At 53.3% G+C, this 25,564-nt stretch overlaps 1 protein-coding gene across 5 annotated transcripts in view, besides 2 other annotated features; it reads left to right on the top strand.

The window, feature by feature from the left end:
* The window catches only part of IGFN1 (immunoglobulin like and fibronectin type III domain containing 1), a 38,129-nt gene extending 14,694 nt beyond the window's left edge, over positions 1 to 23,435 (top strand). For 2 of the 5 annotated variants that reach the window (NM_001164586.2, XM_017002787.2), the window contains 13 exons: positions 566 to 8,104; positions 8,660 to 8,784; positions 9,496 to 9,637; positions 10,022 to 10,321; positions 10,937 to 11,236; positions 11,770 to 11,943; positions 13,013 to 13,141; positions 15,927 to 16,229; positions 17,222 to 17,310; positions 19,162 to 19,357; positions 20,307 to 20,606; positions 21,365 to 21,691; positions 22,869 to 23,435. In NM_001164586.2, coding sequence (NP_001158058.1) covers positions 566 to 8,104; positions 8,660 to 8,784; positions 9,496 to 9,637; positions 10,022 to 10,321; positions 10,937 to 11,236; positions 11,770 to 11,943; positions 13,013 to 13,141; positions 15,927 to 16,229; positions 17,222 to 17,310; positions 19,162 to 19,357; positions 20,307 to 20,606; positions 21,365 to 21,691; positions 22,869 to 22,882 — 9,938 coding nt within the window. In that variant the 3' untranslated portion in view covers positions 22,883 to 23,435. Of the gene's footprint in view, positions 1 to 565; positions 8,105 to 8,659; positions 8,785 to 9,495; positions 9,638 to 10,021; positions 10,322 to 10,936; positions 11,237 to 11,769; positions 11,944 to 13,012; positions 13,142 to 15,926; positions 16,230 to 17,221; positions 17,311 to 19,161; positions 19,358 to 20,306; positions 20,607 to 21,364; positions 21,692 to 22,868 lie in introns of those variants that run through there. The other 3 variants (NM_001367841.1, XM_005245580.4, XM_006711618.4) reach the window with 3 other exon arrangements.
* Positions 17,458 to 17,567: a silencer, noted in NCBI's record as "silent region_1688". NCBI's record gives its function as "represses an Ori minimal core promoter by ATAC-STARR-seq in GM12878 lymphoblastoid cells {active_cell/tissue: GM12878}" and the evidence as "EXISTENCE:reporter gene assay evidence [ECO:0000049][PMID:35858748]".
* Positions 20,039 to 21,031: an enhancer, noted in NCBI's record as "H3K4me1 hESC enhancer chr1:201194684-201195676 (GRCh37/hg19 assembly coordinates)". NCBI's record gives its function as "activates a minimal SCP1, AML or CMV promoter by ChIP-STARR-seq in naive H9 embryonic stem cells {active_cell/tissue: H9 hESC(naive)}" and the evidence as "EXISTENCE:reporter gene assay evidence [ECO:0000049][PMID:30033119]".
* Positions 23,436 to 25,564: the final 2,129 nt, after the last annotated feature.

Below are 25,564 nucleotides of genomic sequence, written 5' to 3' on the forward strand. Positions count from 1 at the left end.
CAACCCTTCTCAGCTGTGCCTGCTCTACTGGGTCTCTTGGAATTACTTTGGGGCACAGATGGCTCTAGGGTCCTAGGCAGCCTTGGGACAGTGGCCCAGGTTCAGTCTGGATGAGAAGCCCCTGCACCAGACCAGAGAGCACTCTCAAACTTCCCTGGGGATAGAAATTTGCGTTCCAGATGTTCCCAGGAAAGTGTAAATTGGACATAAGTAAGGCAGGTGGTTGAGCAAGTCGATATTTTAAAAACCATGCACCTGCTGCGGCAGTTTGATAAACAAATGACTTTTGGCTTATGCGTTTTCTCCAAAACCCTCATGAAGCCTATAGCAGGGTGGCCTGCGGGTATAGGACTAGGGAGGTGGTGATGGGATTCACCCATCCATCCCTGGAACACCCTGGCTTCCTTCCCAGGTGGTCACCTTGCTTCTCTCCTGGGGAAGTCCAGGTCAGGCAAGCAGCTGGGCTCAGGCAGGTGCTTTGGCCGGATTTAACAGGAGTTTTGGTATTTTCTCTTGTCTCTCCATGTGGGCACTGACCTTCCATATGAATAACCCCTCACTGAAGCTGGGAAGGATAAAGACCTTCAGTCCACAAGTGCTGACCACAAACTGCAGAGGCAAGGAGCCCAGGCATCAGGAGCAGAAGAGTCTGGGAGCATCGAGAGCCAGGGAGAGAAATCCAGAGAGCAGGGCCCCAGGGGGGGCTCCCTTGAAGGGGCTGGGCCGGCTTCTGGGCTCCAGCACATAGCCAGCCCAGACAGGGATGGCCTTGGCAGACATGGCTACTCCTTGATGGGGGACAAAGGGACAGCTGACTCAGCCTGGGGCCCTGGACAGGAGGGCGAGGGCTTTCCAGTAGCAGAGGGAAGCAGAGCCACTCTTCCCAGGGAAAATCAATCCCACAGAGAGGGAGGCTGGGCCAGAAGCCTTGCAGAGAGGCCCCATCTACAGGGAGAGAGCTCAGAATCAGGGTTGGGCCTCCCAGAAAAACAACAGCAAGATCGTGGCAGAGACAGCAACAGTGATGAATGCTGGAGGAAAGCAGGAGGCTGGGAGGCTGGGTCCAGTCGGCTTCAGGCTGGAGGACTGGGGAGCAGCAGGGAAGGAAAGGAGCACAGAGGGGACAGTGGAAGACAACTGGACAGGCATGCCCCAGAGCAACTGTGGGATGCTCGACTGGGACCTGGGAGAGGAAAGAGCGACCTGCAGGGATGCCAGTCTGATCCTGTAGGGTCCTGGCCAAGAGGAAAGCAGATAGAGATTTCACAGGATGACAGCCTGGCTGAGATGGACAGAGGGGATGCTCCAAGTAGGGAAAGGGGGAGAGGAATAGTAGTGTGGGGTGGTGGGACTGGCCTGGGAGAAGCTGGAGACAGCAATGGGGCAGGAGGTCCTGGCACCCTGGAGCTTACTGGAGGAAGAGGTTCTGGCTCCAAGGTGGGCATGGCCCCTGAATCCTGGGGTTCTCAGGGAGGTAGAGATGCTGACTATGGGGAAGCCAGGGGCTACTGGGGGTCAGGAGAGTTGCTAGAACAGATACCTGGAGGCAAGGACTTCCAGGAACCATCAATATCAGGTGGTAGAAAATTCCTTCTGGGAGATGGGAGTCCTGAGATCAAAGCTGAAGACTCACTGCAGGAGGCAGATGGTATATGCCGGGGGGAGTCTGTAGTTACAGGAAGTGCCTACAAAACTGGCCCTGGAGGCCCAGGAGACCCCAGAGGCTGCGAAGGTGTCCTACAGGAGCTCAGGGGAAGGGATGGCCAGGAAACAGCTTGGGCCTCGGGTGAGGTAGAGTATGACCCCAGAAGCTTCCAGTCTTCCCAGGGCTGGACAGCAGGTCACAGAGCAGCAGGGGGTATTGGCAGAATAGAATCTAAGGGCACAAGTCCTTGGGATGACACACCATCTAGCCTCAGAAAAACTGGGGCCCACCATGGGCCTGGAGTGCTGGGGCCCAGTGGAGGACAAGAGGGTATGGGTGGTATCTGGGTGGCTGGACTGACGGAGTCTGGTCAGGGGGTGGATGCCAGAAGCCACTGGCTAAGTAGGGCTCCAGGCCTGGGTGCTCAGGGATCTGGGGGGACACTAGGAGATAAGAAAGGATTAAGAGGTCCTGGGTCAATAGGGTCTGAACCAGATTTCTGGAATGGGTCAGGGAGCTCCAGAGTAAAAGGACCCAGAGGTGAGACAGGCTATAAGGATGGCTTGGAAGGTCCCGGGAGAATGGAATCTAGGTACGAGGGTGGCTTAGGATATTCTAGGGAAATAAGCTCTAAAAGCGGGGCTGGTTATAGCTATGGCTCAGGGGTTCCAGGAGAAATGGGGTCCGGCCATGGTGCTGGTTGTAGAGTTTCCCCTAGGGCACCTGCGGGAGTGGAGTCTGAGGAAGGGGGTGGGTACAGGCATGGCTCCGGAGCGCCTGGGGGAGTGTGGTCTGGAAATGAAGATTCTGGCCCTGCAGGAGGAGGGTCTGGGAGAGTTGCCAGTCTTAAAAATGGCTCAGGTGGTCCTGATGGAGCACCCATGAATGACACCAGGAATTGGGCCTCTGCATGCCAGGCAGGCATGGACCCTAGGGGAGGGCACCATTCAGATGGTGGCCTAGGGAGTCCTGGGGTGACAGGGTCTGCGGGTAGAGGTGGTCTCAAGGCCCCTGGAGTAGTGGAGACTGTTGGGATGGGATGTGTGGAAGCAGAACCAGAGAGCTCTGGAAGAATAAGGCCTTGGGGTCAGACTGGAAATTATGGGGGCTTCAGAGCCTCAGAGGCCCTGGGGGCCTTTGGAGAAGGAGGCTATGAAGATGGCTCTGGGGGTCCAGGAGCCATGGGACCAGGGTCTCTGAGGGCAGGAAGCAAAGTGGGTGAGGGGGATGGGACAAGATGCCCTGGTGCTAAGGCCTCTGGAGCTGGAGCTGGTTATAGGGATGATACCAGGCACCCTGAGTCACTCGCACCTCACAATGGGGCCGCTTCTGGGAGCCAGTGGGCTTATGGGGCTGGCAATGTGCTGGGTTATGAGGATGGATCAGAACTTCCAGGGCCTCAGGGAACTGGGGTCAGAACAGCCTATGGAGAAAGGTCAAGGGGCCTTGGGCCTAGGAGTACAGGGCCAGGGGGTGAGGCAGGCTTTAGAGATGGTTCAGGAGGCCTCCAAGGAATGGGATCAGCAGATGGGCCAGGTTGTAGGAAGGGTATTGGGAGTTCTGGGGAAATGGGGTCAGTGGATAAGGAAGGTTATAAGAAAGATTTGGGGGCTCCTGAGAATATGGGTTCGGGGAGCAAGGCAGATTATAGGGATGGTGTAGGGGGTTCTGGGGCAATGGGGTCAATGGATGAAGCAGGTTATAGGAAAGATTTAGGGGCTCCTGAGGGAATAAGTTCAGGGAGCAAGGCAGATTATAGGGGTGGTTTACAGGATTCCAGGGAAGCGGGTTCAGGGAGCAAGGCAGATTATAGCGGTGGTTTAAAGGGTTCCAGGGAAATCGGGTCAATGGATGAAACAGATAATAGGAAAGATTTGGGGGTTCCTGAGGGAATGGGTGCAGGTTACAGGGCTGGTTTAAGGGGTCCTGGGGAGATGGGGTCACTGGATGAGTCAGGTCATAGGAATGGGATTGGAGGTTATGGGGAAATGGGGTCAGGTTATAGGGAGGATTTGGGGGCTCCTGAGGGAATGGGCACAGGGAGCAAGGCAGGTTATAGGGATGGCTTAAGGGGTTCTGGAGAAATGAGGTCAATGGATGAGGCAGGTTATAGGAAAAATTTGGGAGCTCCTGAGAGAATGGATTCAGGGAGCAAGGCAGGTTACAGGGGTGGTTTAAGGGGTTCTGGGGAAATGGGGTTAATTGAGGCAGGCTATAGGAAAGATTTGGGGGTTTCTGAGGGAGGGGGTTCAGGGAGCAAAGCAGGTTATAGGGGTGGCTTAGGTTCTGGGGAAATGGGGTCTGTGGATAAGGCAGGCTATAGGAAGGATTTGGGGGCTTCTGAGGCAATAGGTTCAGGGAGTAAGGCAGGTTTTACGGATGGTTTAGGAGGTTCTGAAGAAATGGGGTCAGTGAATAAGGCAGGTTATAGGAAGGATTTGGGGGCTCCTAAGGGAATGGGTTCAGGGAGTAAGGCAAGTTTTAGGGATGGTTTAGGAGGTTCTGGAGAAATGGGGTCAGTGAATGAAGCAGGTTATAGGAAGGACTTGGGGGTTCCTGAGGGAATAGGTTCAGGAAGTAAGGCAGGTTTTAGGGATGGTTTAGGGGGTTCTGAAGAAATGGGGTCAGTGAATAAGGCAGGTTATAGGAAGGATTTGGGGGCTCCTAAGGGAATAGGTTCAGGGAGCAAGGCAGGTTTTAGGGATGGTTTAGGGAGTTCTGGGGAAATGGGGTCAATGGATGAGGCAGGTTATAGGAAGAATTTGGGGGCTCCTGAGGGAATAGGTTCAGGGAGTAAGGCAGGTTTTAGGGATGGTTTAGGGAGTTCTGTAGAAATGGGGTCAGTGAATGAGGCAGGTTATAGGAAGGATTTGGGGGCTCCTGAGGGAATGGGTTCAGGGAGTAAGGCAGGTTTCAGGGATGGTTTAGGGGGTTCTGGAGAAATGGGGTCAGTGAATGAAGCAGGTTATAGGAAGGATTTGGGTGCTCCTAAGGGAATAGGTTCAGGGAGCAAGGCAGATTTTAGGGATGCTTTAGGGAGTTCTGGGGAAATGGGGTCAATGGATGAGGCAGGTTATAGGAAGGATTTGTGGGCTCCTGAGGGAATAGGTTCAGGAAGTAAGGCAGGTTTTAGGGATGGTTTAGGGAGTTCTGTAGAAATGGGGTCAGTGAATGAGGCAGGTTATAGGAAGGATTTGGGGGCTCCTGAGGGAATGGGTTCAGGGAGTAAGGCAGGTTTCAGGGATGGTTTAGGGGGTTCTGGAGAAATGGGGTCAGTGAATGAAGCAGGTTATAGGAAGGATTTGGGTGCTCCTAAGGGAATAGGTTCAGGGAGCAAGGCAGATTTTAGGGATGCTTTAGGGAGTTCTGGGGAAATGGGGTCAATGGATGAGGCAGGTTATAGGAAGGATTTGTGGGCTCCTGAGGGAATAGGTTCAGGAAGTAAGGCAGGTTTTAGGGATGGTTTAGGGAGTTCTGTAGAAATGGGGTCAGTGAATGAGGCAGGTTATAGGAAGGATTTGGGGGCTCCTGAGGGAATGGGTTCAGGGAGTAAGGAAGGTTTCAGGGATGGTTTAGGGGGTTCTGAAGAAATGGGGTCAGTGAATAAGGCAGGTTATAGGAAGGATTTGGGGGCTCCTAAGGGAATGGGTTCAGGGAGTAAGGAAGGTTTCAGGGATGGTTTAGGGGGTTCTGAGGAAATGGGGTCAATGGATGAGGCAGGTTATAGGAAGGATTTGGGGGCTCCTGAGGGAATAGGTTCAGGGAGTAAGGCAGGTTTCAGGGATGGTTTAGGGGGTTCTGAAGAAATGCGGTCAATGGATGAGGCAGGTTATAGGAAGGATTTGGGGGCTCCTGAGAGAATAGGTTCAGGAAGTAAGGCAGGTTTTAGGGATGGTTTAGGGAGTTCTGTAGAAATGGGGTCAGTGAATGAGGCAGGTTATAGGAAGGATTTAGGGGCTCCTAAGGGAATGGGTTCAGGGAGTAAGACAGGTTTCAGGGATGGTTTAGGGGGTTCTGAAGAAATGGAGTCAATGGATGAGGCAGGTTATAGGAAGGATTTGGGGGCTCCTGAGGGAATAGGTTCAGGAAGTAAGGCAGGTTTTAGGGATGGTTTAGGGAGTTCTACAGAAATGGGGTCAGTGAATGAGGCAGGTTATAGGAAGGATTTGGGGGCTCCTAAGGGAATGGGTTCAGAGAGTAAGGCAGGTTTTAGGGATGGTTTAGGGAGTTCTGGGGAAATGGGGTCAATGGATGAGGCAGGTTATAGGAAGGATTTGGGAGCTCCTGAGGGAATGGGTTCAGGGAGTAAGGCAGGTTTCAGGGATGGTTTAGGGGGTTCTGAAGAAATGGGGTCAGTGAATAAGGCAGGTTATAGGAAGGATTTGGGGGCTCCTAAGGGAATGGGTTCAGGGAGTAAGGCAGGTTTCAGGGATGGTTTAGGGAGTTCTGGGGAAATGGGGTCAATGGATGAGGCAGATTATAGGAAGGATTTGGGAGCTCCTGAGGAAATGGGTTCAGGCAGTTACACAGATTACAGGAATGGTTTAGGCAGTTCTGGAAAAATCAGTTCAGGGGATGAGGCAGGTTATAAGAATGTTTTAGGGGGTTCTGGGAGGAATCCATTAGGGAGCGAGGCAGGTTCTAGGGGTAGTTTGGAGGATTCTGGGTACATTTTGTCATGGAATGAGGCAGGTTCTAGGCAAGGCTTTGGGGGAACTAGTGGCATGGGGTCAGGGAGTGAGGTCAGTTATAGAGGAGGCTCAGGAGGATCTGGGGAAACGGGACCAGAGGGTAAGATGGGTTATGGAGATGGTTCAGGGAGGCTTGGAGTACCAGGCTCACTGGCTGGAATAGGACATGAGGCTGGACCCAGAGGCCATAAAGCCATGGGTCACAGGTCAGGATATTGGGTAGCATCAGAGGGTGACACGAACTCCAAGGATGGTCCAGAGCGAGCCAGGGAAACCAGGCTTGTGGATGGGGCAGGACCTGGGGTGGAACCTGGGATGGCTGGAATGCCAGGCACTGCAGGTGGCATGGCACACAGAGACAGCCTCAGGGGCACAGGGGTGCTGGGGTCTCAGGGAGGGCGACAGACTCTTTCAGATGAGCGAGGCTCCACCAAAGATCTTGGGGGCTATGGAACTTCAGGGATCCCTGAGGCCTCGGAGGCTGCTGGTGCCAAGGGAAAACCAGATGTCAAAGAATGGCAAGACAGTTCTGGGACTCCAGGGTCTTCTAGAGACAGAGGGGCTCCCAGGGTGAAGGATAGGTCTCCAGACCAAGCAGGGATAATGGGGGCTTCTGGGTTTCTTGATGGCAAGGGGGCAGTGGAAGGTGAGACCTGGGCAGGAATGGCTGCTCTAGGGTCTGGATATGAACGGGACATCTGGAAAGCAGGCCCAGGAATGACAGACAGGGGTAGAGTTGCTGGCCAGGGGGGGTTGGCATCTCAGGGAGGTGGGGACTCACTTTTGGGAGGCAGAAGGGTAGGCTCAGGGAGTTCAGTGGGGACAGGTCAGGATCTGGACAGCGGCTCTATGCCTGGGGGAAGGGGCAAGTCAACATCAGGGCCTGCTGATAGACAAGGGACGAGCAATGCTTGGGCTCCTGATTGGGAAAACCAGGGGTTTAGCCAAGGCAGCATAGATGCTGGGAAGCAGCCCGCAGGCTCCAGAGCTTCCGGTTCTCTGCAGGAGAAAGATGCCGCTTTTGGTGGGACCCATGAAGGGCCAGGGGGCTTTAAGGGTGGGGAGGGTGCACCAGGCCAAGAGGCGGCTGGTGGATGCCGAAGCCCATGGTCCCTGGATAGCAAAGGTTCAAGTCCTGGAAGGGGCAGTTCTGTTGATGCAGAGGACTCAGGTATCCTGGGCAAGGGGAATTCTACTGAGTGGGGGAATGCCCTCACCCCAAAACCTGGGGAGTCCGGACCTCAGGGAGCCTGGAATGGCTTAGATGGTCCCTTTGGCAGAAAAGCCTCTAGAGATAGGTCAGGAGGGACCCAGGACCTGAGCTCTCAGCGAGGCAAGGGACAGAGAGGAGGAAAGAGGTCCCTCGGGGAGCAGGGGTCCCTGGAGGCTGAGAATGGTGAGGTCCAGGGTCCTGGGGCCCTAAAGGAGGATGAAGGGCAGGGAGTGGAAGAGGCTGGGAGGTCAGGCAGGAGGCCTGGCTCACTCAGGAGCAGGTCTCAGGCACAGTCAGGGGCTGAGGTTGGAGGAGGAAAGAGAAGGGGAGCAGACGAGGCTGGAAGCATGGGGTGGCAGCCTATGGGAGAGAACTGGGGGTGCCTGGAGGAGATGCTGAATGAAGATCAGAGCCGGGAGCCCCCTGGTCACCTTGGTAGCAGGAGAAGTGGCAAAGACGGCAGGTTGGACATCTATGGAGAGAGGAGAGATGCTACCCGGAGTTCCACATCCAGATACAAGCCTGGCACTGGCAGTTTCTCCAAGGATGCCCAAGGTAGGTGCTTCTCTGCTGAGCTGGCTCCCATGGGCTAGAGACAGTGGGGAGCTCCCTGGCCACTGGGATGCTTGGGTCTGTCCCAGTTCTGCCTCCAGCCCCAGGAGTTTGTCCCTGCCAGTGCTCCCCATTCTCAGGAATCTTTTGCAAATTTAGGAAGCAACCTCTTCCTCTTTACGCAGATGGGGTCCAGCCTGTGAGAGGCTCAGAGGTCTCCTAGGTATCTGCTCTTGAAACCTTATGTCCACAGCACCAGAGTTGTTGACCCAACTCTCTGTGGGTTACCAGACTTCTCACCTGTGGCGGGGGGGCCCTTCATATACCTTACACCCCAGGTCTCCTGGACCAGCCTAGGTCCTGCTGAGAAAAGCAGCAATGCTTGGGCTCCTGTCTGGGAAGACCAGGGCATTGGAGCCAAGATAGCATAGGTGCTGGGAACCAGCCCTGCTGACACCAGCCAAGCCCAGTTGGCAGGACCATGGTGGCCTTGCGGGGCACAGCGCAGGCCATGGCCTGGGGCGCTCGGCCCTGGGGATTCCCTCTGTGTCTCTCCAGGCCCCATGGGCCACTTCTCCCAGGGCCTGGCTGACATGGAAGTGCAGCCGGGGGAGGCCGCCACACTCTCCTGTACCCTCACCAGTGACCTGGGACCTGGCACCTGGTTTAAGGATGGCGTCAAGGTACTGCCTCCCCTCACACCTTCTCTTTACCAGTGGGAGGGACAGAGGTAAAGCAGAGAGGGGCAAGAGCGTAGAGGCTTTGAAAGAAAGATTTTTCATTCTTCATTTTGCTAATGTATCCACCTCAGGAGAAGTTTAAATAGCCAATAACTTGGTGTGTTTAAAATAAAATTGGATTTTTAAATGATGTGTATCCTATGCCCCTCAGCATACCCCTTGTTCTTCCACCATCCAAAATGCCTCTTCTATACCCATACCTGCTGAATCCTACCCATCCTTCAAGGCCTCGTACAAATGCCATCGTCTCATCCCAACCAGAAGGGGGCCCTCGTCTCCCTGCACAATCCTCTGTCCTCCATTAAAGCTGTCACCCCAAGAGACATCACAGTGACTCAGGGCATGGGGCTCAGTATCAGCTAAGTCTGGCTTCAGATCCCAGCTCTGCCACTACCAGTTATAAGACTTCAAGCAAGCTGGCAAACAGTCTGGCTTCCTCATCTATAAAGTGGGACAAATAATAGTACTTACTTCATAAGGCTGTTACGACAATTAAATAAGGTGCTAAGCACAGAGAGCATTGGCACACAATAAGCATTCCATTCACACAGCTGTTATCAGGATCCCAGCATCAGTAAAGGGCTCTGGTTAGCTGGCCTGAAGGAACTGGGATGGGAGTGGGGTGACCTTCTCCTGCTGTGGCCCTGTCTCCAGCTCACCACCCAGGATGGAGTCATCTTTAAGCAAGACGGTCTCGTGCACAGCCTCTTCATCACGCATGTGCAGGGGACCCAAGCTGGGAGGTACACCTTTGTAGCTGGTGACCAGCAGAGCGAGGCCACCCTGACCGTCCAGGGTAAGGCCCAGCCCTGCCCTGCCCTGCCCTGTCCTGTCCCACAGTCTCTTTGTACCAGGTGATATGCCTTGCTTTAAAACACCTGAATTTGTGGCTAGTCTGCAGCCAGTATCTAATCTCATCCCCAGAGAAGATGATTTAAAAAGCCGACTCATACCCTGCCTATTCCAGCATCTTAGCTCTTTCCCTGTCAGGAAGTCCTTGGTGAGGTCTAAGCCTGGTCTCTTCTGCTGCAGATGAAGCCCCTTCCCCTTGTTTGTCCTCATGTGGTGGGGCAGGGGATTCCTTACTCTTCCCCCAAACTTCCTTCTCTGGGTCCTCCTTTCTATATTCCCCAGGTGCCCAGTGCCCTGGTCTTCCTTGACTCTCTTGTTTTATTTCTAGATTCCCCTACCATTGCTCCAGATGTGACAGAGAAACTGAGAGAGCCACTGGTGGTCAAGGCTGGGAAGCCGGTGATAGTGAAGATCCCCTTCCAGAGCCACCTCCCCATTCAGGCTGCCTGGAGGAAGGACGGGGCTGAGGTGGTGGGCAGCAGTGACAGGGAGGCCCAGGTGGACCTGGGGGATGGCTACACGCGGCTGTGCCTCCCCAGCGCAGGCAGGAAGGACTGTGGCCAGTACAGCGTGACACTGAGGAGTGAGGGAGGCTCTGTGCAGGCCGAGCTCACTCTGCAAGTCATAGGTACCAGCCCTGTCTTCCCCCAACTAAGGCCTGAGAGTCCCTGGGGTTCTGGGCCCTCCCTGCCATCAAGGGCAGGCCTGGGATATGATCTCTGCTGGCTCTGATCCTCATTTGCATGCTGTTTAAGATCCAGACCTACCACTAACTCTGCTCAGACTGCTTAGGAAGAAGCAGTTGAGATGAACACAGTGCTGGGCTCCTGCTGGGGGGGAGGAGCCGGTTATGCTTCTCTGACCCCAATACACTGGGCCCTCAGGAAGTTGCTGGGTAGGATGGTGGTCCCCAGCCCTGAGTGGTGCCAGCAAGGTAGGACTGCTCTTGGCCGAGCAGGTGCCCATACCAGCCACCGGACGGTGGGGCCGGGAGGGGCTGGTGCATTCCATGGCACATCCCTGGGTGCATGTGTGTGTTGGGGGTGGAGACATCTCAAGAATGTGTGGCCCTCTGGGTAATGCCCAAGGCTCTCTGGACAGTCTGCCCCATTGCAGGCTTATCTGCTGATGAGTGGATGGGGGTGGGGGGGAGTCGGGGTGGCGGGGAGTTGGGGGGGTTGGCGCTGCTCCCCTCCAGCTCCTCTGACCCCTCCTCTTCCCGCTCCTCTCTGTGGGTCCCCAGACAAGCCTGATCCCCCACAAGGCCCCATGGAGGTTCAGGATTGCCATAGGGCTGGCGTCTGCCTCCGCTGGCGGCCCCCAAGGGACAATGGGGGCCGGACTGTAGAGTGCTACGTGGTGGAGAGACGGCAGGCTGGCAGGAGCACTTGGCTGAAGGTGGGCGAGGCCCCCGCTGACAGCACCACCTTCACGGATGCCCATGTGGAGCCAGGCAGGAAGTATACCTTCCGAGTGCGGGCTGTGACCTCAGAGGGGGCTGGCGAGGCCCTGGAGTCTGAGGAGATATTGGTGGCTCCTGAGGGTGAGAGAAAAGGCTGGGGCTGGGGGTGGGGGACACTCCTGGGCTCCCCACTGTGCCGAGGAGGGCAGGCTGTCCCAGAGGCTGAGTGACACCAGCCTGTGCTCGGGGCTTCGGAGGCCCTTCTGTAGCACTCTGGAGACTCCTTCCCTCAGCTGCATTTGGGATCTGGCACCCAGATCAGGAAGTGTTTTACAGAGTCTCCAGGAGTGAGGGTGTGGGCCAGCAAAGCCCACTGTCGCGGGTCCCAGGGAGAGAGGAGCATCCGCCTCCAACATCCTATCAGAGGACTGGAGGCTGAGGGGTCTCAGGGCTGGTTCTAGGCTCCGAGGCTGCAGTGCCTTCTCTGTCCTTTCGTTCCTTCCCTTGAATAGCCAGAACACTGACCTAGGGCGGGCTGCCTCAGCCCCGACACTCACCAGGACAGGGCGGAGTGTGGCCTGTCCCAGATGCCTGTGCCCCCTACCCCCAGGGGCTCCCCATGAGCCGGCACCTTTCCCAGGCCTCTGGCTGACTGGAATCTTTCTTACCCCCAGCTCTCCCCAAGGCCCCTTCCGCGCCAGCCATCCTGTCGGCCTCCAGCCAGGGCATCACACTGACATGGACAGCACCTCGGGGCCCCGGCAGCGCCCACATCCTGGGCTACCTGATCGAGAGGCGTAAGAAGGGGAGCAACACCTGGACGGCAGTGAACGACCAGCCGGTGCCTGGTGAGCATTGTCCTGGCTTCCAGAGCTTCCTTAGACCCCTCCTGGCTCCAGGATCCCAGGGACTTTTCAGTTCAGATTGGTTTAATACAGTCGTTCTCGTCTAGGGTGGTTTGGCAACGTCTGGAGATATTTTTCGTGGTCACAATGGGGTGGAGGGTAAATGTTACAGGCATCTAGTGCAAAGAGGTCGGGGATGCTGCAAAACCTCCTACAGTATACAGGACAGAGCCCACCTCCTCCTCTACAGGACAGAGCCCACCTCCTCCTCTCAAAAATCCCAAAGAAGAATCTGGCAAAAAAATTTCAATTGTGCTGAGGTGAAGAAGCCCTGATTCAGAAATCCCGGCTGAGAGCCAGAGATGAAGCTGTTAGCCCTGGCCCCTCTACTTCTGGCCTTGACCTTGGACAGTTCACTTCCTCTCTAGATCTGAATTTCCACATCCATAAAGTGGAGAGGAGGATCCCCTGCCCCACTAAGTAGTTTCCAAAGAAACAAACTGCATTCTGAGATCAGAAAGAACTTGGAAAAGCCAAAGGGCTGGGCAGATGCTGAAGGGTCTTGTGATAACCCTTAGCATTTCCTTGCTCTGCATGCGTGCTGCGGAAGTCCAGGTTTGAGGAGGAAAGAACAGGCTCGGAACAGCTTGCCAGGAGACCTGGATTCAGGTCATGGTTCTGCTACTTAGGAGCTGAGGCCTGTCAGGGCTTCAGTTTCCTTATCTCTAGAAAGAGAGAGATGAACATTCTCCCAATTTCACTATTTAGTGATTCTGCTTTATTTAAATATGACAGCAACTCTGTAAGGCAGAGACAACCAGGGAGATTAAGGTACTTGCCCAAGAACATCCAGCAAGTTAGTGGTGGAACCAGACAGGGATCAGAGGCTCCTGACGCCCTGAGCAGTGCTCTTTCCACCTTGGAGGGAACTGAGTCACAGCGGGTGGAGGGATGTAGGGAGGGATGTGTTAGGACCCCAGGCTTGGTCTCCTTCAGAACTTGGAGGCACCCAAGCTATCTCCCCATGTCCAGCACCATCAGGGTGGGACTCACATGGGCGGGCTGTTCACAGAGAGGAGGTGGACGGTGGCGGACGTGCGGCAGGGCTGTCAGTATGAGTTCCGGGTCACAGCTGTGGCTCCCTCAGGTCCCGGAGAGCCTGGACCTCCATCGGATGCTGTCTTTGCTCGGGACCCCATGAGTAAGTAGGGCACCAACCCAGGATGGGGGTGGAGGTGAGCATGGGATAGCCCTGAAGCTGGGTGGGACTTGATGGGAGGTCAAAGGTCACAGGTCGGGGCAGTCCTGAGGGAGATGGTCAGGAGGGCTGGGATATAAAAATCAAAAGGCCTCTCGGGTGAGCCACATCTTAGGGGCCCTACGTGAGCTCAAACAGGCCCAGAAGCCAGGCAGTGGGATTAGAGGATTCCTTCCCTGCCAAGTAATGGTTCATACTTGTAATCCTGGCACTTTGGGAGGCAGAGGCAGGAGGATTGCTTGAGCCCGGGAGTTTGAGGCTGCAGTGAACTATGATTGCACCACTGCACTCCAGCCTGCATGACAGAGGGAGACCCTGTTACAAAAAAAAAGAAAAGAAAAGAAAGAAGAAAAAAAAAAGCAGAGTCCTTTTCAAGATCACTTCACTCACTCTTTGGCCTCTAGGCAGGCCAGCCCCCAAGCTGGCCCACCTGCCCCAGTCTCATAAGCATCCACTCACCCTAGTGTTGCCCATCAGGCAGGGCGGAGGGCAGGTAACAGGGGAAGCTCAGCATCAATTCTCTATCCAATGAATATTTGCCCATCACCTACTAAATGGCCAGCATTGTGCCAGGAAGTAGGTAAATCAATCCTGGTCTCTGCCCTTGAGAAACTTATAGTCTGAGATAGCATTTTCTATCTGAGACCTGTGGTCTTGGGAACATGGAGTGTATTGAGAGATGCCAACAGACATTCTGAGAACAGGAACAGCAAAAAATGTCTGTGATTAAAGATGTGTATGATGTGAGCTTTTGATGTTTCCAAGTCCTGCAGGGGAAAAAAACCTGTCTAACCTTGATCCAAATCTAGCTTTTTCACAAAATACCTATTAAAAGCGTCACTCCAAGGCGTACAGCTTAGAAAATGCTGCTCTGTATTTCTCATCCCCTAATCAGTTTGCCTACGCCAAGTCCTCTAGGGAGCAGCACATTTCTGGCACTTGACGGATGGGCCAGGTGGTCAACACCTGGAGAGCATCTCTGTGCCCCACAGGGCCCAGCCCACTGCAGGTGTTCAGGCTGTTTGAATGAACCCAACAAGACCGAAACATTCTGTACATTTCATTGTTCAAGTGGTATCTGAGTTTTAGTCCTAGGAAGGGCAGGACATGGAATGGAGGGATGGGGGAGGAAAGCCGGCCCATGCAACTTACTCCTTGCAAATGGACCAAGCCTGTCCTATCTTTTCTTTTCTTCTCTGTTCTTTTCTTTTCTTTCTCTCTCTCCTTCCTTCTTTCTCTCTCTCCTTCTCTCTTTCTTTCTTTTTTCTGTCTGTCTGTCATTCTTTCTTTCTCTCTCTCTCTCCCCCTTCCTCCCTCCCTGTCTTCTTTCTTTCTCTTTCTGTTCTTTTTTTTCCTTTCTTTCTCTTTTTCTTTCTTTCTTTCTCTCTCCCCCTTCCTCCCTCCCTCTCTTCTTTCTTTCTCTCTCTCCCCCTTCCTCCCTCCCTCTCTTCTTTCTATCCCTTTCTTTCTCTCTCTCTCTCTCTCTCTAACAGGGTCCACTCTTTTACCCAGGCTGGAATGCAGTGATGCAATCTCGGCTCACTGCAGCCTTGAACTCCTGGCCTCAAGCAATCCTCCTGCCTCAGCCTCTTAAGCAGCTGGAACTATGAGCATGTGCCACCACACCCTGCTAATTTATCTTTTTGTAGAGACAGGGTCTCACTATATTGCCCAGGCTGGTCTTGAACTCCTGCTTTCAAGCTATCCTCCTGCCTCGGCCTCCTAAAGTGCTGGGATTACAGGCATGAGCCATGGGCCCACAGCCTGTTAATCTCTTTTATCAGTGGTGGGAAGTAGAGACAATAGATAGGATAAGCAGTGTCTAACAGTAGCCACAGCAATCACTACATTTTCTGGATTCTTGCTGCTAAGCAAGGCCCATGGCCCAGAAACATCATCTTATTAGAACTTATGAGAAATGCTGAATCTCAGGCCTCACCCCAGACCTACTGAATCAGGGTCTATATTTTTTACAAAAATCCCCAGGTAACTTCTATACTAATTAAAGTTTGAGAAGTACTGCCCTAGCCCAGTGGTTTTCAAACTTCATTGCATATGTAGAAACACCTGGAAAACTCTTAAAAATGTTGATGCCTAGACTGCACCCCAGACTAATTAAATCAGAATCTCTGGGGTGGCATCTAGGTGCCAGTATTTTTAAGCTCACCAGGTGATTCCAACGTGCAGCCAGACTTGAGGGCCAGAGCCCTTTCACACTCATTGTGCTTTTTGCTTGTTCTAAAACCTCTGTGGGTAGGTGGGGCTATTATTATTGTTCTCATGTAATAAGTGGAGAACAAGAAGCCTGCACTGAGTACCCAGAAGGCAGAGTCGTGACTCTAAGAGCTTAGAGTCCAGAATAAAAACACATGGAAGTCTAGTCATACGGGATAATGGAACCCAAGAGGTCATCAACTAAAATATCAGTTTTCAGGAATTACAGAAGGATAGTTAGGAGAAGGCATTTGGCAGGTTGGTGAATGAATGAGGGGAATGAGTTGAGGGAGGCTTCCTGGTGGAGGTGGCCTGGGATCTGTGTGCATAACGGAGACAAAGTGCTGGTTACAGTAAGAATTTGGAACAAGGTAGGTGCTTCAGGAAGAATCTAAAGGCAGAATTGCTAAGTGAAAACAATTCCCAGTCTCCCACAAGGAAGGCTAATCAATATCCACACTGAGTGGCCTCCCTCAGGAGATGCCATTCCTGACTCTCCCATGGTGCCTGGCAGGACCCCCTGGGCTGGTGAGGAATCTCCAAGTCACAGACAGATCGAACACCAGCATCACTCTGAGCTGGGCTGGGCCAGACACCCAGGAAGGGGATGAAGCCCAGGGGTATGTGGTGGAGCTGTGCAGCTCAGACAGTCTCCAGTGGCTCCCGTGCCATGTGGGCACCGTGCCAGTCACCACCTACACGGCCAAGGGGCTTCGGCCTGGAGAGGGCTACTTCGTGCGGGTGACAGCAGTTAATGAAGGAGGCCAGAGCCAGCCCAGTGCCCTGGACACATTAGTGCAAGCCATGCCTGTTACTGGTGAGTGCTGCCTCCTTCCCCGACCCCTGAGCCCTGCAGGCCTCTCCTAAGAGGGGGCCCCTGAGTAGCCGCAATGCACTTACTAAGCCAGGATCCCCACCCTCAGTTTCAGGAAGTAACATTTATTGAGCACCTACTAGGTGCTAGGTACTGGGCTAGGCAGTCCCTTCTTAGAAATGTTTTCTCATTACGACTCATAACTATACTACAATATTAATGTTTTTATTCCGAAGTTACAGAGAAGGAAACTGAGGTTCAAGGTACTTTGCCCTAGTTGTCACTAATGGTATGTGGTACAGCCAGGATTTAAACCTGGAGACTCCAAAGTTGATGTTCTGTAGGAGAGAGAGTGGCTGCTTCCCGGGCATGGCCTTCGAAGGCCTAAGGGCCGCTCAGCTCCCATGGTTCACGTTCAGAATGGGACATGCCCAGCTCCCCGTTATTATTGAAAAGAGGATTGTCTTTCCCTTTGGGCTTTAACCACCACAAGCACCTGATCTGCCTTTGACCCAAGCTGACACTGGGCCACCCCAGCTGACCCTAGTCATCACTATGGCAGTAGGGAGTCACAAACACAGCACACGGAGTCCAAAGTCCCAGAATCTTGTCCTGGCTCTCTCCCGAACAAGGTGTGACCTCAGGCAAGTCATTTCCTGTCTTAGATTGGTGTTTATCTCATCTGCAAAACATAAGCGCTCTGCCACATGTCTGCATCTTCCTCTGTTCCAGCCTAGTCCACCCCTCTCCCTGCAGGGTTCCTTTCTCAGCTCCTGTCCCTCCCCCGCTAGCATCTCCCCATCAGCCCCTGGGGTCTCCCCTGAAGATTCTGCTCCCAGCTGTACTCCAGTCCTTTAGAGGCCCCAGTATGTTGGGATCTCAGCATCAATCCGACTGGCCCAGTCTTCCCCTCCAGCCCTACCTTGCTGGGGACCTGGGGCTGGGGTCCAACTGTGAGGGAGGAGGGAGGTAACCAGTCCTCTTGTGCGTTTCAGTCTGTCCCAAGTTCCTCGTGGACTCCAGCACCAAGGACTTGCTGACAGTCAAGGTCGGGGACACAGTTCGTGTGCCCGTCTCCTTTGAAGTGAGTGTACCTGCAGGGGTGTGGGGAGGGAAGCCCAGAGAGGCCAAGGGGGCCAGACTCAGCCCTGTGGCTCTCTTTTCTTCCCTGTTCCTTTTTGGCCCCTAGTCAGTGCTTGTGGAAATCACTGACTGGGCTTGTGGAAATCAGGTGAGAGACATGAGGCAGGAAGGATTCAGGTCCTCCTTGAAGGTACTGCCCTCACTTGGCGGCTGGGTGGCCATTCTGCTCCAGGCCTGCAAATCCCTCTAGTGGTAGCTTCAGCTACTGCACCTCCAAACTAAGGCTCTTCGGTTCTCCACCTCTCCTAGTCTGGGAATTCAGGGAGCCGGTCGTGCAGATGATCCCCTTTGACTTCACAATGTATTTTTGTGCAAGCACATGACCTATATTTGACTCAGGGTGATCCTTAACCAACACCAACACCACCTGACTTTACAACAGTAGGGTGGTGGCTAAAAGTACAAACTGCCTGGGTTCAAATTTTGATGTCATCACTCACAGCCGTTTGACTTTGGACAAATATTATTTATTTATTTATTTATTTATTTATTTATTTATTTTGAGATGGAGTCTCACTCTGTCACCCAGGCTGGAGTGCAGTGGCACGATCTCGGCTTACTGCAACCTCCACCTCCCGGGTTCTAGCGATTCTCCTGCTTTAGCCTCCCAAGTAGCTGGGATTACAGGCGCATGCCATCACGCCCGGCTAATTTTTGTATTTTTAGTAGAGATGGGGTTTCGCCGTGTTGGCCAGGCTGGCCTCTCAAACTCCTGACCTCACGTAGTCTGCCCACCTCGGCCTCCCAAAGTGCTGGGATTACAAGTGTGAGCCACTGTGCCCAGCCAGAACAAATATCTTAACATCTCTGTGTTTCACCTTCCTCATCTGTCAAAAGGGGATAATAATAGTAACCTACCTCAAAGGTCTGAGGGTTCAAGGAATTAATATATTGAAAGTGTATATGTAGGGCCTGGCATATGACAGCACCCAATATGTTTTAATATTATTATTGTTTAAAATCATCATCATCTGTGTAGGAATTCAAACCAGTCTATCTTACTCTAAATGACTTGTTCTTAACCACAATAATGACAATGATAATGATGGCAAAAATATTTAATGCACATTGAGTAGTTACCATGTCCTAGGCCTTGTTCTCTCTGCTTTCCGTGTATTTATTATTAACGCCTTAAATTCTCAGAACAATCCTGTGAGGTCAGTTAGTGACTATCAGCATCTTCGTTTGACTCTGGTGCCCACCGTGCCCTGTACTGAGGGCCCCGTAGGGAGTTGACGGCATGGTCACCAAGCAGCTGGGCTGGCCTTCCCACCCTGCTCAGGGTCACCACAGTTCAAGGCCAGGACACCGCAATCTTCCTCCTAGACTATTGCCAAATTATCTCCTACATGGTCTTGGCTGCCAGGGTGGTTAACACTCCCCTCCCCACACATCCCTTCTCATTCCCATCCCACCCCCTGCCATGTGAATCCAGAACTCATTATGCTTTCCTGCTCAGAATCTGACAACAGCGGCTCCTGGCTGAGAGGATAATGTCCAGATGTCTGTAGAGGTGTGACGTGGAGGGCACTTTGCATTTTTGCCGAACCTCTTCGTCCAACTTCCTTTCTTGTTCTACCGCCCCCCTACCATACCCGCCTGCCAACCTCACACTTTATCACCACCCCTCTTTCCCACCTGTGTTTTCTTGTCGACGTTGTGTTTTCTGGTCGACTTTCTCCTTGTAGAAGACTCTTCTCACCGCTTCTACCTTTGGCCTAGCTTAAATGCCATCACCTCCATGAAACTGCCAGCTTCCCCTTCTCAACTTTTCCTTCCTCTCCTTTCTCAGGCCATGCCCATGCCTGAGGTGACCTGGCTGAAGGATGGCTTGCCCTTGCCCAAAAGAAGTGTGACTGTCACTAAGGATGGCCTCACCCAGCTTCTGATCCCTGTGGCTGGACTCTCAGACAGTGGTCTCTACACTGTGGTGCTGAGGACCCTGCAGGGGAAGGAGGTTGCCCACAGCTTCCGTATCAGGGTGGCAGGTGAGGCAGGCCTTGCTCTGGGCTCTGGACGCTGGCTCGGCCACTCACCAAGGCAAAGAGGTGTCCACTGGTCTGATCATAGGTCTCAGCCACTCTACCAGGGCTGGGTATGCAAAGTGACCATTCTCCACCTTTCCTCCATGCTTGATGATAGAAAGTAGAAAGGACCCCAGAAGATCCCCTGGGGACTTCCATTGTCCTTCTGCCTCAGGAGCCTAGAGACAGTCATGTCATGTCTCCTCTCCGACCTCAGTTATCCTTCCCGTTGAGTCAGTGAGCAGAGGCGGTTACCACTGTTACATCACTCCAAAGACCCAGGGGACAAAATTGTCTGCAGCCGTTGCACAGGATAAAGGCTTTCCTCCCCAGCTGTGGCTCCACACAGCCCCTGCCCTGGAGGAGCTTCTGGATATCCAGAAATGATCAAATAGACTAACAGTGGGGGCTCTGTAATGCAGCTTCATGAGAGCCCTGCCTCTGTCCAAAAATGCATGCCTTGTCCTGTGTCATTTTACTTAAAAACTGAAGTGAATTCAGTGAAACCCCATCTCTGCGAAAAATACAAAAAATTAGCCGAGCGTGGTGGTGGCCGCCTGTAGTCCCAGCTACTTGGGAGGCTGAGGCAGGAGAATGGCGTGAACCCGGGAGTTGGAGCTTGCAGTGAGCCGAGATCGTGCCACTGCACTCCAGCCTGGGTGACAGAGCCAGACTCCGTCTCAAAAAACAAACAAACAAACACACTGAAGTGAATTAAAATTACTCTTTTGGGGAGATTTTCTACCCTCTAGAGATAACTGTGGACCGCTGGCCAAGCTTACTCTGGGTCCAGCTACTTGTGTGGCAAGACTGCGTTCCCCAGGACCCTCAGAAGTCCTGGGACCTGGAGGGGGCTGGTAGCAGCCCTGCTGGGTCCCCTCCACGTGACCTCCCTCTGCCGTCTCTCCTGAAGCATGCCCGCAGGCCCCTGGGCCCATCCACCTGCAGGAGAACGTGCCTGGGACGGTGACGGCCGAGTGGGAACCCTCTCCTGACGAGGCCCAGGATGTCCCGCTGCACTACGCGGTGTTCACACGCTCCTCAGCGCACGGTCCCTGGCACGAGGCAGCCGACCGCATCCACACCAACCGCTTCACCCTCCTGGGCATCCTCCCCGGCCACGAATACCACTTCAGGGTGGTGGCCAAGAATGAGCTGGGGGCCAGCAAACCCTCGGACACCAGCCAGCCCTGGTGCATCCCCCGGCAGCGCGGTAAGCAGCCCCTGAGAGGGAGGAGCAGGCAGGGTGGGGGTTGCGCTCTGCAATGCAGTGGGATGCACCCAAGCATGGCAAGCGCGCAGGATAGGGACTGTGGCAGGGATGGCCTGGAGCATGCCAAATAACAGCCAGCAGCCCCGAGCTGCTGCTCCTCCCGCTCCTGCCTCACACCCACCTGTTCTGGCATCCTCTGCACCCCGACCTCCGTGGGAAGAATGAGATTGGTGTGGGTGTTTTGGTGTCTGAGGTGCCTTTGGGAGGATTTTCAAAAGCAGCCACAGACAATAAGGCAAATAGAGGTTAATGTTTCTCTGAAAACAAAGTGTATATTTTACCGCAAAGTAGATGTGGACCTTAAGATCAGTCACAGAAAAGCAGGCTATAAAATCAAATCAAGGTTTCATTTTCATAAAATACAAAAATTTCAGGAAAGCTCTACACCAGAATGTCAGCTATAGTCATCTATAGGTAGTGAGATTATGATTTGGTTTTTATTCTTTCTCCTTTGATTCTCTGTGTATTCTAATTGTCCACAGTGAATGTGTATTAGCTACAAAAAAAAATCCATAAAGAATTTTAGGAAAAGGATAGAATGAGGCAAGCCTTGGGGTCCAAATTTGCAGGCAAGATGTGGCAGGAAATCCCAGATAAGGCCTACATGGTAGCTTCATGAACTCTTTACCCAGACCCGGGTCTCAGCCAGGCCTTCCTCGCTTTCTCACCCTCTTCTCTCACCCCGGCTTTCACCACAGACAGGTTCACAGTGAAGGCTCCGTGCTACCGGGAGCCCGACCTGAGCCAGAAGCCCCGGTTCCTGGTGGGCCTGCGGTCCCACCTGCTGCCCCAGGGCTGCGAGTGCTGCATGAGCTGTGCCGTGCAGGGCTCGCCCCGGCCCCACGTCACCTGGTTCAAGAATGACCGCAGCCTGGAAGGAAACCCCGCGGTGTACAGCACTGACCTGCTGGGCGTGTGCTCCCTCACCATCCCCAGCGTATCCCCGAAGGACAGCGGGGAGTACAAGGCTGTGGCTGAGAACACGCTGGGCCAGGCAGTCAGCACTGCCACCCTCATTGTCATAGGTAATGGTGGCTGCCCTGGCAGTGGGGCAGGAAGGAGAGCCAGGAGAGCAACCACCTGCCTGTCAGGGAGGCTCCGGGGGGTGCCTAGAGGGATTCAGCCGGGAGTCAGGAGACCAGGACTCTCTGCCTGACTCTATGAACTTTCAGCTATTTAACCTACCAACACCGGCCCACATGTGGTCTTTATTTGCCCACTTTTTAAAAAATTTATTTTTATTTTTAGTTTTTTTTTTTTTGAGACGGAGTTTCGCTCTTGTTGCCCAGGTTGGAGTGCAATGGCATGATCTCGGCTCACTGCAGCCTCCACCTCCTGGATTCAAGAGATTCTCCTGCCTCAGCCTCCTGAATAGCTGGGATTACAGGCATCCGCCACCACACCTGGCGGATTTTTTTGTATTTTTAATAGAAGGGGGGTTTCATCATATTGGCCAGACTGGTCTCAAACTCCTGACCTCAGGTGATCCACCCGCCTCGGCCTCCCAAAGAGCTAGGATTACAGGTGTGAGCCACTGTGCCCGGCAGATTTGCCCACTTTTAAAATGAGGTATTTGAACTTGGTGAGCAACTCTTGATTGAAGGGCTGTGTACTGCTCACCTAAGCTTCCCAGTGGGGCCACGCTACACATTGCAGGCTGAGAGATGAACAGGCATCCGTATTGCTGTTTCTTAAGTATGTCAAGATATGAACACTTAGTGCCTAGAAAGCCATGCTGATTCTCTCATTGGTAGTCTCCTTTTCAGTAGCACAGATATATATGTTAATAAAGGTTTTTCCTTCGATAGTACTTAAAACACCTTATATTTTGAATAGCAATAAAAGGCAAGCCTCAATTGACCTTTGTGGAAAAACGGCCCCTTTGCACTGGAGCAGAGCATCTCTCCTCTCTGTAGCACCTGTGCTTAGGCATTTAGGAAGCCACTCTCGAAACACCCCAGCTTGTGTACACATGTAGTCCCGGAACGAAGATGGCATTGGGGGTGATTATGGTTCCCCGAGGGGCCAGCAAAGGGCTTTGCCCAAGCTTAGAGAGCACGTGGTGGCTCCAGATTTGAACCCACACCCCCTGATGGCAGAGCCTGTAGTCTAAGCCCCATTCTGAGTTTTCTTCACCACTGAACAGATGCAGGGTGGGGTGGCTGCCCCTCTGAACCAACTGGAATATCCTGTGTCTTGCAGAACCCAGCACCTAGCCTCACCTCACCCTGGGATGGTCCTGGACCCTTGAAGCTTCACTTCCGACACCTGCACTGGCCCGGGAAGCCAATCCCAAGGATGGAGGCTGTGCCCAGAGCCCCAGGAAAATGGGAGTGAGAAGATGCCTGGCGAGGTTTTGGCCAGGAGGACGTGAAGTCCTTGGGGAAGAAAAACAAGGGAGGAGGGCATTCCACCTCCTGGCTCCAAGCTAAGTCACTCAACAGAATGACAGCGAACCTCCTGGACCCTCACCATATGGGTTTCTTTCTTCTTCGCTTCAGGAGATCCAGAGGGCACCTGCCTGCAGGATGGGCCGGCTCCTTATTTTCCTGGGCTGAGCCGTTTGGAGGGAGGGTGGGCACAGCTGGGCCTGCTGTGACCACTGGGAGGGAAGAGGAGAGGAGGTCAGAGGACCTGGGTGAGGACTAGGGCATCAAGGTCGTGTGTGTGGGTGGGGGCAGCCTCCACCTCCTGGATTCAAGAGATTCCAGGGGTGCAGCAAGTGCTTTCTATGCGTTTCTTCATTAAAACATTAGGCTAATACAGGCAGATCATTGGCAAATTTACTTGGGGTGGGTGTGTTGGAGGAAAGATTTCCAAAGCGGAGCCTTTATTCCAGGCTTCAGTTGGGAGGATGGGTGGGTTCTGGATAGAGGAAGAACGGGCTCAGAACTGGACTCTTCTCCTGCAGCCCAGGCCTACATAGTTGATTGCAAGGGCGAGAAAGCCAAGAAGGGTTAGAGGGTAATGGAGAGGCTTCTCTTCCTCCTGGCCTTTGTTTCCTGCACTCTTCTGACTGGCAGAAATCCTGTGAGCAGCAGGGCTGGAGGCCTCCCCAGGTGTTACGTGTGTGGGGACCACAGGGCTGGGGTTGCCTAGGGTTGGCCTATGTCCGTCACTCCCCGGGACCAGAAAGAGTCTGAGTTGGGGAGAATCCTACTCCAGGATCTATGCCCCTGTCAGAAGGGGAAGAAAGAGGCTCTCAAGTGCATGAGGGTGACTCTCACTCAAGGCTGCATGAGGCCTCCTCACCTTCTTCACAGTCCCCACTGCCCCATGTCACAGGAGGGATGGGATGCCTCCCTTTCCCAGGTGGGTCACCCCACCACTGCCCCCAGAACTCTTGCACTCCATTATCCTCAAGGCATGGCCCCCAAACTCTCAGGCTCCCAGGAAATATTCCAGAGTTTCCAGGAGCCAAAAGAAAGGAAGGAGCCCCGGGGAAGGCTGAACCCCACTCTCTCCCAGGGCATCAGCTCTGAGGCCCAGCAGGTGACCCGATGAGCTAGAACACTGTCTGCCCTTCACTCCCTCTGCTCAGATCCTGGCTTCTGCTTCCCTCAGCCTCCCTTTGCCACTAACTGCAGGTCAGATGCATGAAGGAAGGAGGGTGAATCACAGGAGGAAGGGTTAATGCCAAAAATCTGTTTCTGAAGAGTGAGAATATGTGACCAAGGGAAGGTTCTCTGAACCGGAGAGAGAACTGTTCACCTAAAATAGACCAAGAGTGTCCCCCAGAGGCAGGGACACACACCAGACAACCTTTTATAGCTCATTCCTTCCCCTACCAAAGAAACCTGCATGAGCTGTTTTCCTTGGAATTTCTCTTGTTATCTCTACCTTGCTAACACAGCAGGCCAACACCATGGCCATAGGAAAAGAAGGAAGTTCTTAGAAACTGAGAGGCAGTGGCTGGACACCTCAGCCTGTGTGGGGCAGTTCTCATGAGTTCTTTCCATGCTGCACGGTCCTGGAGTTGAAGGAGGGCAGGGCCTCAGGCCAATAGTCTGTGGTTTCAGAAATGCAGAGAAGAGGTCGTTTGCACAGAGGGGGTGACCCAGTGCCTGTGGCATGCCTAGCTCTGAGCAGACACTCATATTGAGGATGAGAAGAGAGACCTTTCTGTACCTCTAAGGGTGGGCTACAGGGGACTGACCTATTGAGGCAATATAAGGACAAAAGACTATAACTCATGATGGCTTCATAAGACACCTTCATTTTTTTTTTATGAGCCTGGATCAGGCACTGTGGAGGCGGAGATGAAGATGACTCAGATATGAGTCCTATAGCCAAGGGATCCATGGCAGGGACGCAAGACTTGAATACCAAGAGCCATAATCCAAGGTAGCCTGTGATGCATATTCTAAGAAAGGCACCAATAAAGTCTAGAGGAGTTCAGAGGAGGAGAGATGCTGCAGACTGAGAACCTCAAGGAGGGCTTCGTAAAGTGGTAACATGCTTGAGGGAAAAGTAGCAACTGGACAGGCAGGAATGGGCAAGGGTGTATCACGGTGGAGAACACCATGAGCAAAGGCAAGGAGGTAGGGAAGCACAAATTGGGTTCGAGGGCTGGCAAATGGTTCAGATTAGACAATTCAGGGTGACCTATGTAGCTATCACAGCCCTTTGGTCTAATGCCAAAGGGAAACATTCTAGGACCAAATTTACAGGTGCATGTGTGCTCTGGGCGCCAACCACGATGGAGGTGGAGTTCCTGCCCTTGGAGGCCTGGGACAGTGGAAAGCAGTTGTCTCTTTTGGCAGTGGACAGCAGAGTGCCAATATCCTGGGGCAGGCCAAGTTAGGTGTCCCTGGGAGGGGCTAGCATACTTCTGTAACTGGGGTGGGATATGAAGACAAAAGGAATGGTCATGGCATTTTCATTCATTTCCACACAAA

The sequence above is a fragment of the Homo sapiens genome, chromosome 1 (assembly GCF_000001405.40).
Source record: "Homo sapiens chromosome 1, GRCh38.p14 Primary Assembly".
NCBI classification, from domain to species: domain Eukaryota; kingdom Metazoa; phylum Chordata; class Mammalia; order Primates; family Hominidae; genus Homo; species Homo sapiens.